The 16,974-nt window shown below is 42.0% G+C and overlaps 1 protein-coding gene across 10 annotated transcripts in view, besides 1 other annotated feature; it reads right to left on the bottom strand.

Annotated features, from left to right (window-relative positions):
• Positions 1–16,492, bottom strand: part of STX11 (syntaxin 11) — a 51,977-nt gene extending 35,485 nt beyond the window's left edge. For 2 of the 10 annotated variants that reach the window (XM_047419439.1, XM_011536218.3), the window contains exon 1: positions 16,302–16,492. Coding sequence is in view for 2 of the 10 variants with exons in the window: in XM_047419436.1 (XP_047275392.1) it covers positions 15,646–15,718 (73 nt within the window). In the remaining 8 variants the exon portion in view is untranslated. Of the gene's footprint in view, positions 1–5,049; positions 5,360–5,751; positions 5,939–15,645; positions 15,860–16,301 lie in introns of those variants that run through there. The other 8 variants (XM_011536214.3, NM_003764.4, XM_047419437.1 and 5 more) reach the window with 7 other exon arrangements.
• Positions 5,812–6,251: a silencer, noted in NCBI's record as "silent region_17638". NCBI's record gives its function as "represses an Ori minimal core promoter by ATAC-STARR-seq in GM12878 lymphoblastoid cells {active_cell/tissue: GM12878}" and the evidence as "EXISTENCE:reporter gene assay evidence [ECO:0000049][PMID:35858748]".
• Positions 16,493–16,974: the final 482 nt, after the last annotated feature.

The following is a 16,974-nucleotide window of genomic DNA, read 5'->3' as shown; positions in this document are numbered from 1 at the left end:
AACAAGTATACAAAATGGGAAATACTTTTCTAGATGACTTAGTATTTTCTGGATTATTGTGATGTCCTATCCACTGAAAAGAAGGAAATGAGGCCAGGTGCAGTGGCTCACGCCTATAATCCCAGCACTCAGGGAGGCCGAGGTGGGCTGATCGCCTGAGGTAGGGAGTTGGAGACCAGCCTGACCAACATGGAGAAATCCCATCTCTACTAAAAATGCAAAATTAGCCACGTGTGATGGTGCATCCCTGTAATTCCAGCTGCTTGGGAGACTGAGGCAGGAGAATTGCTTGAACCCGGGAGGTGGAGGTTGTGGTGAGCGGAGATCACACCATTGCACTCCCGCCTGTGCAATAAAAGGGAAAATCCTGAGGAGTGGGGAGGGGAGGGGAGGGGAGGGGAGGGGAAGGAAGGAAGGAAGGAAGGAAGGAGAGAAAGAGAGAAAGAAAGAAAGAAAGAAAGAAAGAAAGAAAGAAAGAAAGAAAGAAAGAAAGAAAGAAAGAAAGAAAGAAAGATTAAATTTTAAAACACATTTAATTAGCTCAAGAAGGGCAACTGAAAATTACCAATTCTACAACTCTACATCATTCTAAAAATTACCCAATTACTGAGCCTTACAAAGAAGTTGAATGAAATACACAGATAATGTCTGGTATCCATAAACTCAGAAGGAGTGGCCAAGAAATGACTTACTCTGACAGATGGTTTCATTATTAGTAAAAGACACAGAATGGTTATTAGGACGGGGAGGAGCCTTAGAGGTGGCTTAACAGAGCCCCCAACTCTAGCTATTCTCTTCTCTCAGGGAAACCACAGTTGAATTGAACAGCCAAGACAAACCGATATGAAATATTAGCCAAAACCCTTCCCTTTCTTGTGATCTGAGCACTGAATGAATTATAGGCAGGCACATAAAAGCTCAGGCCAAGGGGTAGACATGTGGGCTCTATTACCCTGCGAGGCTTCATGTCACTCTCATTTCATGGGCAACTATAAATATGTTGATTTCCCAATGAATCTGAAGAAATGCTGAACAAAACATTCAATGCATGTGTGGAGAAACTATTTTAAAACTTCAAGCTTTAGACATTTGAACATTCTCCCCCGCCCCTGCCGCTGCCCCCAGGCTCAAGCAATCCTCCTGCCTCAGCCTCCCAAAGTGGACATTTGAACATTTTAAAGCTTCAATAAGTGAGTTTGCTGATTCAGTTTGGGTACAACATTAATTGGGCGTTTTAAACCTTACATGGTCCAAAGTCGAGGTCTTTGAGGAAAAGATAACCAAGGCAGCTTTGTGGACATAATGGTTGAAGCTCTGGGAATCTTCAGACAGTCTCCATTAAAATGTAAATTCCCAGGAGAAAAGGTCTGATTATTCCAGTTTCTTCCTAGATCAATTCTTAGTCCCTGATTGCTGAACAAAAATCAGGATATTAATCCAAGTCAGGGTAGGTTGAATTATCAACAATGAGAACAGTTAAGAGTTGGGATCATTTTTTTGGAGGCGGTGGGGGCGGGTGGACAGGGTTGTTGGTCAAAATACTGCTGTTCAGACAAAAGAATCTACCCAGGTGCCCCAAATGGAAAGCAAGTTCTGAATGCAAGATACTTGAATCATTTTGCCAAGTTAAAATCAAGAGGACAGGAGACACAGCAGGACCAGACTCACTTAATAAAATTCTGGAAGTTAGAGGCAGGTAAGGCGCCTGCTTCAGGGTAAAACTAGAACAAAATAGGATTCAAAAGGCAGATCACAAGTCAGGAATGTAATATCTGGAGTTGTTATGTACCTGTCTGCATTTGTTAGTGGTTCTTCCACCATTTGACCCTGCTCTGTAGATTAATGCCTCCCTTGCTAGCCTTTCTGCTTCCCTATGGAAAATCTTAGCAACAAAACATTGAGTGCATCTGAGAAATATGAAAAGTTGAGCATTCAGTGTTTAGGAGGGGTGGTAACCAAGGCAGCTCTGTAGACACAATGATTGAAGCACTTGGAACCTTCAGACACTGTGAGTCTCCATTAAGATGTTTCAATTCCCAGGATAAAAATGTCTGATTATTCCAGGTTTCTTCCTAGATGAATCAGGTATTTCTTGGAGTGAAGGTAGGGGGTGGGATGTCATGTAGCACAGTAGGGACACTGAAGGCCCATCTTATGCATCAAGGCCATTCTTGGATAAGGAAGAATTGTTAGGGGCAGGAGAGTGACTTCAACCTGAGCTTACCACAAAGTCCAAAACCTCATTGATTCATTCATCAAGACAGCACATCACAGCAGGGTGCTTCAGAATGCAAGCTCTGGAACCAAGTGCTTGGGATCCATTTCTGGCTCTGTCAGTTACTAACACTGCACTTTCTTCACCAGTCAAAGCAGTTAATTTGAGTACCTATCTCACAGGATTGTACTGACGAGTAAAAGGCTTAACGCACATAGTGAGTCTAGGATAGTACATGGCCCTTAATAAGCACTCAATAAATTTTAGCTATTACTAGCATTCATTTGAAAAATCTTAATGAGCACTGATTATGTGCCAAGTACTGTGTGAGCTCCTCACCACCCTTTAGCCCAAACCTATTCTTCCACCGAGTAGGATATTCTTATCCTAGTCATTCATTAGAAACATGGGAGTCATCTCAACTGCTCCTACCTCCTCATTACACACACCCGACAGGGTTCCACCTATTAAACCTCTACCAGCCCCTTCCCTCTTTTCCCATCTGCATTGTCACTGCCCGATTCAGGCCTTCTTCAATGTCCCATCTGCAATATGACAACAGTTTCCACGGTGTCTTCCTAGGGTCAATGTCACTCTCATCTAATCTAAGATTTTTAAAATTCCAAGTTTTGTTATTATTTTTTAAACACATACCTGACAATATCATTCACTTGTTCAAAGGCTTCAGTACTATTAAACCCTCATGGGGCCTTTGTGATCTGGCCCTTCCTGTCTCCGTAGGCCTCCCTCTGTGCCGTCACTAAACAGGCTGGAGTTTCCTGAACGTCCAGTGCTGTTTCACTTCTCTATGGGTGCTGTTCCTTCTGCTGGGTCACCTACAGCAGACAATTCCACTTGCCTGACAATTCATCCTCCTACGTGAAGGTTCATTATTCCATCAATAAACACTTTCTAACACTTATCATGAGACAAGCCTGGGCCAAGTTCAGGGAGTACAATGCTGAATGACAAACTCGACCCTTTCTTTCTCATAGAAAAAGTAACTTTAGGGCTCTCAAAGGAGGAATAAAGTTTGGAAATTAAGGTAAAGTTGTCTGAAATTTAGCATTGTTGCCTTTACCAGTTGGATATCTTAGCAAACTGGGGAAACTTGGAAACCTTGATACTTGGGCATCCAGTTCAAAAGCATCTCAGCAGATTTCAATTGCAACAGTAAACTGTGATACGGTAGATTTATTCATTTTGGCTCACACGGCTATAATGTGATAAAAAACATTGATTTGAACTACAAAAACAATGATCATAAACTCGCTTCAATATAGTGTTACCAATGTATAAACTATTAGGCAGGGCATGGTGGCTCACATCTGCAATCCCAGCACTTTGGGAGGCCAAGGCAAGCAGATCACCTGAGGTCAGCAGTTCGAGACCAGCCTGGCCAACAGGGCCGAACCTTGTCCCTACTAAAAATACAAAAATTAGCCGGGTGTTGTGGTGGGTGTCTGTAGTCCCAGCTACTTGGGACGCTGAAGCACAAGAATTGCTTAAACGCAGGAGGTGGAGGTTGCAGTGAGCCAAGATTGCACCACCACACTCCAGCCTGGGGCAACAGAGTGAGACTCTGTCTCAAAAAACAAAACAAAACAAAACAACCTATTAATTAGTCACACCATTTCCTAAAAGTCATGCTGTTAACTAAAGGTGACTGCAATTGTCCAGGGGTGATAATCAGCTGAATTTCGTTTTACATGGTTATTAAATAACATGAAACATGGTTCATTCAAGCACTTTAAAAACCATACCTTTCAAATTCATACATTTTTAAATCATGTATCAAATGAAGAATAGGCTGCCTACAAAGACAAGTAAATGACTAAACTCAAAAGTTTCCTTGCTCTTCCAGCCATGACCCAGTCCATTCCAAATCCCAGATCTTCAGAAACATCAGTCATATTGGGACAGAAACTTTTCTCTGGGTATAGATTTACCCTAGCACCTATCTCATTATATTGAATTTTCCAGCATATTTAAATAAACTATTAATTAGTCACACTATTTCTTAAAAGTCACACTATCAACTAATCGTGACCGCAATTATCTAGGGGTGATAATCTGCTGAGTCTACTCTTTAAATACACTGGGACCCAGCATATTGAGTTATATTGGCACAGAAACTTCACTCTGGGTATAGATTTACCCTAGTACCTTGCCGGCAGGATCCTATTATTCATGGTTGTACAAGCAAGGTTCAGGGAAGAGGCTGGCACAGAGAAGGTACCTGGTAACTGTTGTTTGAGGCTGAATTCAGCTCAACTCAGCTCCAGTAGAGATGGTGTCCCCTTCTCTACCGTGTTGAGATAGTGTGCAGTCCCTTCCTAAGGGCTGTTACCCACCGCAATAGGACTTGTCAGCTTCAACTTTTAAATTTCTCTGCTCCCGCTGGGACCCACCCGCTTCAAAAATCATCATGTGGTTTTAGCACCAATTTAGTAAACACAAACTGTCTGAAATATTTTGATTTTAGAGAGTTACTTACAATCACCACATTAAATGATACCTTTCTCCCATGCAGTGAAAATGACAGCAAAATGGTCATTGAATAATGAAATTAATTTTCTCTTGGGCATCTGTGGCAAAGCACATGATTTCAATGGTTATCTTAGATCAGCCCAGTGACCTTTACTGGCATGTTGTAACATCAGGCGCCTTAGGAAACTGAAAACTCAATCGTCACTTCCCATACCACTGCCCCAGGTTGGCAGGGCAGGCATTTCACATCTAGAGTCTCATTTTAAAGCAAGCCTCGCTTTTCAAAAGTTCATTAACAAAGTCTCACAATTAAGAGAGCAGCCCTGTGACTCATTTTTGGATACCTGTAAATAACAGCTCCTCCCTCTGCTGAGAAACGGCTGAAACAAGTGCGTGAGAACCACAGGAAGTAATACAGATCTCAGCTGGTGTCAGCGGAGTCTAGAAAAAGGCAGAATTCCCTCTCAGGACGGCGTGGCTCTCGCAGGCATTGCCACTACTTCTCTCCATGTTTCTAAAACAAAGTCTTACGTGGGCTTCGAAGGGACTCCTCGAAGGCTCTATCAATTTCTCCGTCTTTCCTGGCTACTGAGTGACACCGCCAAGTTCAAGTCAAGAAGTACCCATTCTGGTGTTTTTGACACAGTCACCCTACTAGGAAGTGAAGAGGTGATAATAAAAAAACACTCCAGCCTTTCGATTTAAAATAAAAGTAGTCTTGGGTGGACACTTTATAAAGGCAGCCTACCAACAGGTATCCCTAAAATAATTCTTACGAAGCACTAAATCCTAAGTCCCTCAGCCTCTGAAATTAAAAGTAATTTTAAAAAATCATTCTGCTTTATATGAGAAACCCAATGCTGTGTTTCCGAAGGTGCCCAGAGGCGGCGTGAGGACCTGCGCCAGATCCAAAATCCCACCTAAGGCACAGCCGCGGGTCCCGAGCCTAGACAGTGCCCCCGCCCCGACCCGCCCTCCCCGATCTCTCCGCGCACGGGGAAAATAGTCAGGAAGAGAAATGGGGGCTCAGGAAGAGAAAAACAAACCTGGACTGGGAGCGAGAGTGCGAACCGAGAAGCCCCTCTCCCGGCAGGGCGCGCGTCCCCTGTGGGCGCAGCGATGGAGAAGGAAACCTGTTGCGCGACTCCCGGCGGCTCCGCTCCCGGCGCCTCCTGCGGCCGAGGCTGAGTTCCTCCACGGCCGCCCGAGCTCCGCGCCGCCGCGGCCGCATCTGGGCGCCGCCGGCTCAGCCCCCGCCGCTTAGGAAGCGACCACAGCTGGGGACCAGGCCCCGCCCCGGGATGACAGCGCTGGGGCGCGGCGGCAGCCGGCTCACAGAGCGCGGGTTCCCGCCCCACCCAGAGTCCATGCGCTCGGGACCGCCCGGAGCCGGGGACGCGCTCCAGCCCCTCCCGCAAGCCCAGGGGCGTTCCCGCGGGCTGCGCGGACCGGCGCGGGGAGTGGGATGTTTGCCGCCCAAGACACTTCCTCCGCTCGTCCTCTGGTCCCCAGGGCAGGGAGCGCGCTGGACTTCCCCCGGGAATCCCCGCTGCGCTGGTGACATTTGCAGTCCGGTGCGTTGCCGCGGCGAGGACGCTGGAAGCCGTCTCTGAGCGTGGGTGTGGCTGCGGAAGCTGCGGCAGGTCCTGCATCCCTGGGACCCTCGAGGACGCGGGCGAGGAGCCTGCGGTCACACGGAGGCCGAGCACCGCCTTCCCAGAACCCTGCCGACCAACCTCTCTCCAGTCGGCCTCAACACCCGCCGGGCTCATCATTCTCTGGATATCAACTGAGCGTCCCCTTGTGTGCCCACCGCGCTCAAAAATACTGCCAAGACCCACCCTCCAGGTCCCGGCACTTTAACGGGGAGGGATAAATAGAAAGTGTGGATTGTGCCAGGTGGTGGTAAAGCACCTTGAAAAACAAGGCTGAGGCTGAAAAGTAAGGAAGTGATACTCAAAAAAGGAAAAATCGGGCCGGGCGCGGTGGCTCACGCGCGTATTCCTAACACTTTGGGAGGCCGAAGGGGGAGGATCTCTTGAGCCCAGGAGTTTGAGACCAGCCTGAGCGATGTGGTGAAAGCCTATCTCTACAAAAAATAAAAAAATTAACTGGGCGTGGTGGCGCACGCTGTGATCCCAGCTGCTCGGGAGGCTAAGGTGGGAGGATCACTTGAGGCTGAGAGGTCAAGGATGCAGTGAGCCGAGATCGCGCCACTGTACTCCAGCCTGGGCGACAGAATGAGACGCTGTCTCAATTGAATGAGAAGAAAAAAAATAAAACTAAAGAACGAATCCTGCCTTGATGGCAGAATGTTTAGACACAGGAACCACCTGAAAGCTCCCAGTTGCCAAAGATGGAACCATTTGAGCAACGAAGTAAACTAAACAAGGTAGTATTGGATTACAAGCCAAAGTAAAAAAATCCATGAGTCTACACTGATATAAATAAATAATTGAATAAATAAATAAAAGGCGGAGAGGAGACAAATCTCCTATACAGAATAATTCCAAATAATTTATGTAGATCATGTACCCTAGGCTGTGCACAGTGACTTCCTCCAAAATAGTACAATGTGGAAAGGGAAAAACAGTAGGTTTACAATGGAGAAAGCCGACAGACACTACCCCAGCCAGATGTTCTAAGCCAACGTCAACAATCGTGACTCATTGATGGCATGTAGTCAATATGATGTGATGAATGTGGCATATTACATGTGTGGTCTCCCTCCTGGAAAACCATAACCTCAGTCTCATAATGAGAAAAATATCAAACAAATTCCAGTAGTGGAACATCCTACAAAATACCTGACCAATATTCCTCAAAGTTGTCAGGTTATCAAAAGTAAGGAAAGTACAGTCCAGACGTGGCTCACGCCTGTAATCCGTACACTTTGAGAGGCTGAAGCGAGAGGATTGCTTGAGGCCAGGAGTTCGAGGCCTGATCTGGCCGACATAGCCAGATGCTGTCTCTACAAAAAATAAAATAAAATAAGGAAAGTCTGAAAAACTGCCGCAGCCTAGAAGAAACTCAGGAGACGTGAAAACTAAATGTAATGTGGTATCCTGGATGGGATCCTGGGACAGAAAAAGGACTTGGGGAAAAACTAAGGAAATCTAAATAAAGCATGGACTTTCATTAGTAATAAGAATCAAGGTTGATTAATTAGTTGTGAGGAATGTAATGTAAGATGGTAATCATAGGGAAATCTGAAATGGAATTTATGGAAATTCTGTACTACCTTTGCAGTTGTTCTGTAAATCTAAAACGGTTCTAAAAAATACAGTTTATTTTAAAAGAAAGTAAAATAAGAGGGATGAGGTATGTTATATTTTTAAAAATGGGTATATTGCAAAGCCATCTAAGATAAGAGAATCATTGAGGGAGGAAACAATGCAGCTATTGGGATTAAGATCATTTCAAGCCTAGGAATCAGTGGATGTAAAGGCCCCGAGGCAGGAGCATGCTGGGCTTCTGGGAGAAATATCAGCGTGGGCAAAACAGAGTCCAGGAAGAGTGATGGTGGTGGGGCTAGGAGTGGGGAGTAGAGCATGTAGGGCATTGGTAGTCATGATAGTCTTTACATTTTACATTGATTGAGACAGGAAGACTGAAGAATGTTTATCAGAGAAGCTAAATGATGTTGCTGGTTGTTTTTTTAATCTACCGTTTTGTTGAGGACAGATTAAAGGACAAAGATTAAAACAGGCCAACGAGTTAGAAAGCTGTGATGGTTAATTTGATGTGTCAAATTTATTGGACCATGGGGTGCCCAGATATTTGGTAAAACATTATCCTGGGTGTGTCTGTGAGGGTGCTTGCTGATGACATTTTTAATTTTTTTGAGACAGCAGCTCACTCTGTTGCCCAAGCTGCAGTGCAGTGGCATGATCATGGTTCCCTGCAGCCTCGACCTCCCCTGCTCAAGTGATCCTCCCACCTTGGCCTCCCAAAGTGCTGGGTTAACAGGCATCAGTTACCATGCTCAGCTGAGATTAACCTTTGAATCCATGGAGAAGACTGCCTGAAAAAGTAAATTGTGGATGGGGAGGAAAGGTGAAGATTGCTGGGGATTAAGAGTGGCATTTTGGACACCTTCAGTTTGGAGTTGTCAAGTTGTCATGAAGGCAGTTGGTTAGGTGAGTCTGGGATGGTGGTATATATTTGGAGTTCTTTAGCATATAGATGGTGTGCAGACAGAATGGGGATGTCTGAAGTCTGAGTCCTGGCATGCTCCAAAGTTCAGAGGTTAGGAAGATAAAGAATCAAAAAAAGAGAATGAGAAGTTCTGATTAGTGAGATAGATAAACCAAGAGAGAGCACGTTTCAGGAGCCAAATTAAAAAAATTTTTGTAAAAAAGAACAATTAACTGTGAAATGCTGCTACAGTGTGTAAAATTAGGACGGAAAACTGAGGAATGGGCTTGGCCACATGGAGGTCAGTGGTGAGCTTGGTAAGAAGAGTTTTAGTGGGGGATGACCAAAGCCTGTTTGGAGTGAAAGAATAAAAACATCAGATGAAGACAAAGAAATGGAGTAGAAACAGGAAGGAACCATATAGTCAAAGCAGTTTTTTTTTTTTTTAATTAGAAGCTATACATGTTTGTTTGCTCACCAGCATGAACCAAAAGGAATGGAAAGAGGGATGATATGGGGGAGAAAAAATGGGTTACATGCTGGAGCAATGTTCTTGAGTAGATGAGCAGGTGTGCAATCCAATGCACACATGGAAATTTAGGGTAAAACAGAAGAAAGAGTTCATCCCTGGTAACAGGAGAGAACAACTCCAAACTGAATGTGTCCAAAATGCCACACTTAATCCCCAGCAATCTTCCCCTTCCCTCCCCATCCACAATTTACTTTTTCAGGCAGTCTTCCTCATGGATTCAAATGATAATCTCAGCTGTGTGGTAGCCTGTAAACCCAGCACTTTGGGAGGACAGGGTAGGAGGATCACTTGAGCCCGGGAGTTAGAGACCAGCCTGGGCAACATAGGGAGATCTTGTCTTTACTAAAAATCAAAGAATTAGCCGGGTGCGGTGGTGCATGCCTGTTGTCCCAGCTATTCAGAAAGTATGGCAGAGATGCTGGTAAATGTGGAGGCAAGAACATATTTTATCAATGAAATTAAAAGCAAGAGCTGGACGCCGTGGCTCAGGCCTGTAATCCCAGCACTTTGGGAGGCCGAGGCGGGCGAGTCACTTGAGGTTGGCAGTTCAAGACCAGCCTGACCAACATGGAGAAACCCCGTCTCTACTAAAAATACAAAATTAGCCGGGCATGGTGGCACATAATGACAGGGTTTAGAGTATGGCCAATCTGAATTATCTTCCGCAATTGATCTGCTCACACCCAGCTGAAACCCCAGATTATTCTTGTTTTATAAATTTCTCTGGAGACCTTGGCTCTCCCTTCCAGTCTGGAGTTTTTCAGAGATGATGACCGATAAGGACCTTAGGGTGAAGCTCAGATAAAACAGAGCAGGCACTGGGTGCGGGGCGTGGCAGTTGCATGGCGATCTGTCAGCCGTGGCCATCATCCTGCACGCTAGTGCCGTTCCTAATTTACAGAGCTCTAAACCCATTGAATCCCAGGGTTGGAAGGTCCTCTAGCACAGCCACCCTTCTGAGGTGCAACTCCTTCATGGCCCTCAGTCAAATAGTCATTGCGTATCCCTGTACCATGTAGTAACCAGCAACTACCATTTCTCTTTTTCATGCTAGTTCGAGAACTCTTTGCAGATAAAGAATGTGTTTAAACTTCTTATATGGTTGTGATAAAATATTTACAATATAGAATTTACCATTGTAACTATGTTAAAGTGTACAGTGGCATTAAATACAGGTACGTTCACATTGTGGTGTAACCATCACCACCATCCTGAACATTTTTATCTTCCCAACTAAAACTTTGCACCCATTAAACACTAACTCCCTGGTCTCTCCTCCCTCTCACCCTTAGCAACCACCATTCTACTTTTTTTTCTTTACTAACATCTCTCTAACTCAGTCCTTGATAACCACAGTTCTACTTCTACTTCTATGAGTTCAGTGTTTTTAGATTCCACATATAAGTGTCATCATGTGGTATTTGTTTTTCTGTGCCTGGCTTATTTCACTTAACATAATGTCCTCCAGGTTCATTCATGTTGTCACAATGACAAGATTTCCTTCTTCTGTAAGGCTGAAAGTACCTCGTTGTGTATATATATCACATTTTCTTTATCCATTCATCCACTGTTGAACACTTATGTTGATTCTATATCTTGGCTATTGTAAAGTGCTGCAATGAACAGGGACATGCAAAAATCTCATCACACTAATTTCATTTCCTTTGGATATATACCCAGTAGTGAAATTGCTAGATTCCACCATTTTACTTTCTGCCTCAATGAATTTGACTGCTCTAAGTATCTCATATAAGTGGAATCATACAATATTTGTCCTTCAGTGACCAGCTTATTTCACTTGGCATTATGACTTTAGTGTTTATCCATGCTGTATGTAGCATGTGTCAGTATTTCCTTCCTTTTTAAGGCTGAGTAATAACTCATTGTATGTATATACCAGATTTTGTTTATCCATTCACCTGTCAATGGACACTTGCGTTGCTTCCACCCTTTGGCTATTGTGACTAATGCTGCTATGAACATGAGTGTACAAATATCTCTTTGAGTCCCTGCTTTCATTTTTGGGGGGTATATACCCAGAAATGAATTTGCTGGGTCATATGGTAATTCTATGTTTAATTTTGTGTAGAATTATCATTACCATTTTTCACAACAGCCAAGACATTTTACATTTATACCTGCAATGCCCAAGGGTTCCAGTGTCTCCACCTCCTTGCCAACACTTATTCCCCTTAGACTATCTTTGATTTCTATTTCATACCCTGCAGGACACATGATAGTGTGTGAGTAAATTAATGACCGTTATTAACCCTGTCAAAAAGGAAATGAGGTTAAATGAAGCAGCTTGTGCTCAGCAAGTCTCAGCCAGTACACCTTGTTCTAGATTTACACTGTACTTTACCATAGCCACATATGGCTAATTAAATCTAAATTAATTAAAATTAAATAAAATTTAAAAATTCAGTTCCTCAGCCACATTAGCAACATTTTAAGTACTTAACAGCCACGATAACTAGTGTCTACTATTTTGGACAGTGCAGAATATAATATTTCCATTATTGTAGACAGTTATTAATATTTGGCTTCTATATTGGACAGCACTTTCTAGATTCTGGTAGCCACCTCTGCCTCATCTTACAAATAATATTTGAATAAGCTTTTCCAGAACTGGCCGGCTTTAAATTTAAGTTTAAGATCTTTCTTTCAGGAGAGAGAAAATATGCTGCTTAAAAGTCTGTGGCTTTTTTGTACCTCAATGGCTGCTCTGTGAACTCTCTAATTTTCATGTTTAAATATTGTATTTGGACACTCAGTGATCATGTGGTTCTGTTGCTCTTTATTAGCTCTGTGATTGCAGACTTACAAAACTAGTTAAAGCTTTGTCTACATCATTCAACTCACCTACTAAATCATAAGTTTCAAGAAGGCAAGGATCATGCCTGTTTCACTTACTCCTTTTTACCTAGAGCCTAGCACAATACCTAGAACATTAGAGACACTCAATAAATATTTGTTGAAAGATGAGTTAATGAATGACTGTAGTAAGCACTGAGTTGAAGGCCCTGATACAGCCTTTTAGAGGGAGGCACCTAGACATAACAAGACCTAGGAATATCTGTCTAGCTCTCATATATTAATGGTTAGAAAATATGTTTTTTTCTTACAGAGCATAGATTTTAAGCTAGGGTCTTTTCCCCATTATTTAAAAAGTAGCTTAAAATTTAATGCCTATAAGGATCTTGTCTAATGCATGTTTATAAAGCTACTACTCTGATTTGTAAACACCTGTTACCATAAGTGAACATAATAATGAGAGAAAATAAATTCTAGATTTGTATAGTATCAGCATGTGTCAGAGATCTCCTTTTGCCCCTCCAATCCACTTTCCACCTCCCTCCCACCCGTTCTCTGACTTGGGAGTCTGATCTGAATGGATTATTCTGACAGCTGCCTGTGCCCCATAGCTTTCCTGCAAATAGGAAAACTGGCAGGAGGACAGGGGCAGGGAATGAGGTCAGGAAATGTATTCCAAATAGAAGTTCGTGTATGCCCCTCAACAAAAGGCCCCAATTCCTCTAAGGTGGTCTTCTCTACACGTCTCTCTCTCCCTTCCTGGTTTCAGATACTTTTCCATACTTGTGATTCTCAGTCAAAGGTTCCATTACAGCTCCCCTCCACCCTGTCCATATCTTTATAATAGACCCCTTATTTAAAACCTCTGCTTGAATTATCCTAATTTGAATATGCTATCCATTTCCCTTTGGGACTTTAACTAATACAGTCTTCTTAATTAGTAGCTAGAGCATAGTCTCCAAATCCCATCTCTGAAAATTTTATAACTACAATCCTGACAGAAATGTTCCCTAGTGATATTATCATATCATTATTTCAATCCACTTATTAGCTTTATGGAGAAACCAGACTGTATGCCATATAAATTGTTCTCCAGTACACGCAGACTAGAAATATATTCCCAGATTCACAGGCAAATCTTTTTGCATATAGCTTTTCTACATAAAATGTAGAAATAAATTGATGGAAACATATAAATGAGAAATCTTTTAGTGTTTTGAATTGGTACATAATATTTTACATATTTGTGGGGTACATATGATATTTTGTTGCATGCATAGAATGTGTAAGGATCAAGTCCAGGTATTTGGGGTATCCCTCACCTTGAGTTATTAATCATTTCCATATGTTGGAAACATTTCAAGTTCCCTAGTTTAGCTAATTTGAAATAAACAATACATTGTTGCTAGCTATAGTTAGCAACAATGGAACAATAGAACTGTTATAAACATTAGAACTTACTTCTTTTATCCAACCGTAATTTGTACCCTTTGACCAGACTCTCTTCATCCCCCTTTCCACTCACACAACCTTCCCAGCATCTGGTATCTATCTATCATTCCACTCTCTACCTCCCATGAGTAAGAACATGTGAAATTTGCCTATGTCTGGCTTATTTTACTTAAAATAATAACCTTCAGTTCCATCCATTTTGCTGCAAATGACATGATTTCATTCTTTTATGGCGGAATAGTATTCCATTGTGTTTATATACCACATTTTCTTTATCCCATAAATGTAAATTTACAAAGTAAAATCAAGTTAATTGTTAAAGTTTTAAATATTTCAATATATAATAAGTTAAAGTTTTAAATATTTCAGTATGTAATAAGCATATCTTAAATTACTTCTAGATATGTGATGAAATCTGCAAAGGTTTCAGTACTGCAAACAAGTCATCATTACTCACATACAAGACAACACAGTTTTTATCCCTTGAAGCTTGTTTTAAATGTACAATTTTTAGCAAACATGAGATCATTAAAAAATATAAACCTAATAATGCTGATACCAATATTAAAGATAACCAATACTATTGTTTGGTTACAATGTGCTAAGCACCATATTCACATCGTCGTATATTATTTAATTTCTCATCACAAATTTGTGAAATGTGCACAACTCAACCCTATTTAAGAGAGGAATAGACTGAACCCTATAGCCTCCTGTCCACTGTCCAGGAAACAACAAGCAGAAGACTTCAGACTCAAATACTAGTGTGCAACACAAAAATCCAGGTTCTTCACCATTAATAATTCAAGAACAATGTTAGAGACCACAGAAGAGGCCGGGCGCAGTGGCTCTCGCCTGTAATCCCAGCACTTTAGGAGGCAGAGGTGGGCAGAGTGCTTGAGCCCAGAAGTTCAAAATGAGCTTGGGCAACATGGCAAAACCCCATCTCTACAAAAAAATACAAAGAAATTAGCCAGGTGTGGTGGTTGGTGTCTGTAGTCCCAGCTACTCGGGAGGCTGTGTTGGGAGAATCACCCAAGCCCAGTAATTCGAGGCTGCAGTGAGCCATTATTGCACAAGTGCACTCCAGCCTGGACAATGGAATGAGACCCTGTCTCAAAACAACAACAACAACAACAACAACAACAACAACAACAACAAAACTGAAAATAATGACTTTCCAAAGTAAATGATTTTTTTCATCTTGTTATCTGCACAAAAGGGCAATATGAACTTAAGGTAAGCTTAGAAAAAATACTAAAAAAAGAAAAGAATGCAACAGATAACTCTCACAGAAAAGCAAATTTCTTGTTGTTTACTAAGATCATTTCTTTTTCCAAGCTTGATACGCCAATAGGGGTAGAAAACATGTGGCGAAAAATCGTATTATTTTGGTATTTGTTAAATTGTGGTCCTGCCTATAATTCCTGAATTGACACTATTGCATCTTTACTTTAACCCAAATTTCAATTAAGTAAAAACTTTTCTTTGATATATTTGCTTACTTGTAAGAGGCCTGAAGTTTGATATGTACTGGTTGCTCTAACGTATACAAATAGAACAAAAGTTTTCTGTGAAGGAGAATGGGTTTTTAAAAAATCTGATCTAGAGATAATCTAGTTGATCCACTTAATAGCTCTTTATGGAAACCAATTTTTCTGCAACTGTGATTTTTGCATAACAAGTTGCAAAAGTATTTTAAGATCAGACTGTTACTCAATACTCATTTCTGGTAAACTCCTTTTTGCACCATTGCCTTCGTCTGCAGAACAGATAAAAGTGAAACGGAAAAGCACAAACAGAATATAACACATAAGCCATGCCTTTTACAGATATTAGTTTAGCCACAAGCCTTGAAATACTGGTTTTGAATGTGAATAATTAGTTTTCAACAAGTGTAATTTTCACAGATACATTAAACATTTGTATAGCCATATTCTGTTCATTTAGATGAATTTGTGTCATCTATTTAGAAACTCTATACTTCCATGCCAAGAAGCCTTACTTTGGGGCTGAGATCTGGCTTTCTTCTCTTCTTCCTCCCCTTCATCCATTTCATCCCCTTGAGGCTGCTCCATGTCTTTGTCTTACTTTTCCCTTTGGCACTCTTCAGATGGACCCATTCCTTCTTCACGGATGGTTTATAGTTTCTGTGAGTTCACAGACCACAGCCTGCTAGCAACCTTCCATGACCCTGAAGAAAATTTGAAAGTGCAATACTGGCACCAAAAAAAAACAAGTTGTTTCAAATGATGAATTGGGCCAGGCATGATGGTTCATGCCTGTAATCCCAGCACTTTGGGAGGCCAAGATGGGAGGATCACTTGAGGTCAGGATTTCAAGATCAGCCTGGCCAACACGGCGAAACCCCATCTCTACTAAAAATACAAAAATTAGCCAGGCGTGGTGGCGTGCGCCTGTAGTCCCAGCTATTCAGGAGGCTGAGGCAGGAGAATCGCTTGAACCCAAGAAGCAGAAGTTGCAGTGAGCCAAGATTGTGCCACTGCACTCCAGCCTGGGTGACAGAGTGAGATTCTTTCTCAAAAAATAAATAAATAAATATATATATATATATATATATATATATATATATATATATATATATGTGAATTGACCAAAAATGGCAGAGTAAACAGGTTGAAGTCTGAGCAGTGAACTCACCGATTCAAAGGACAGTCTTTCCTTGAGACATCTGCCTCTGTGGGTGATGATCTTTTTGAGACCTTGCAGAAGCTGACGGATGTTCCTGTCAGTCCCTCGCTCCTTTCCTTGTGTGCCCCAGGTGTGAGGAGTGATCTTTGGTAGGGTCTAACATGGCCTTGCCTCACTCAGGGTGTTGAAAGCAGGCTGCTGTAGCTGATTTCTTTAAACCCTATTTTTCTACAGTTTGGTGATGAAGAAAGGTGAATTATGAAACAGGAACTTTTGCCACAACCCTGTATCCCTAGTCACAAAGAAACATTTACAAAAGTCCACATGCAAACTGGAATTCATAATTGATTACAGTGCGAATGTGGGTGCTAGACTTATTCACACCTATTTCTTCCACAGACCTGGCACAGCATCTCTGCAAATTAATGAGTGGGCCCCTTTTCAAGAAAAAACCGATATGGCACCCAGTGTTGACAAATTATTTCTACCACAGTGTTACTTGAATGTAATATAAACACAGTGTTACTTAAACATAAACAAGCTATAAATTCCTTATGGCTGTAGACCCTTTAAAAAACTATAAAATCCAAACCAATTTGCACATTAAAAGCATAAAATTAATAATAATATTAAAGTAGACTGGGTACAGTGGCTTATGCCTATAATCCTAACACTTTGGGAG

This window comes from Homo sapiens, chromosome 6 (genome assembly GCF_000001405.40).
Source record: "Homo sapiens chromosome 6, GRCh38.p14 Primary Assembly".
Classification (NCBI taxonomy): domain Eukaryota; kingdom Metazoa; phylum Chordata; class Mammalia; order Primates; family Hominidae; genus Homo; species Homo sapiens.
Note: the sequence above shows the minus strand (reverse complement) of the source record. Positions and strands in the feature narration are given on the sequence as shown.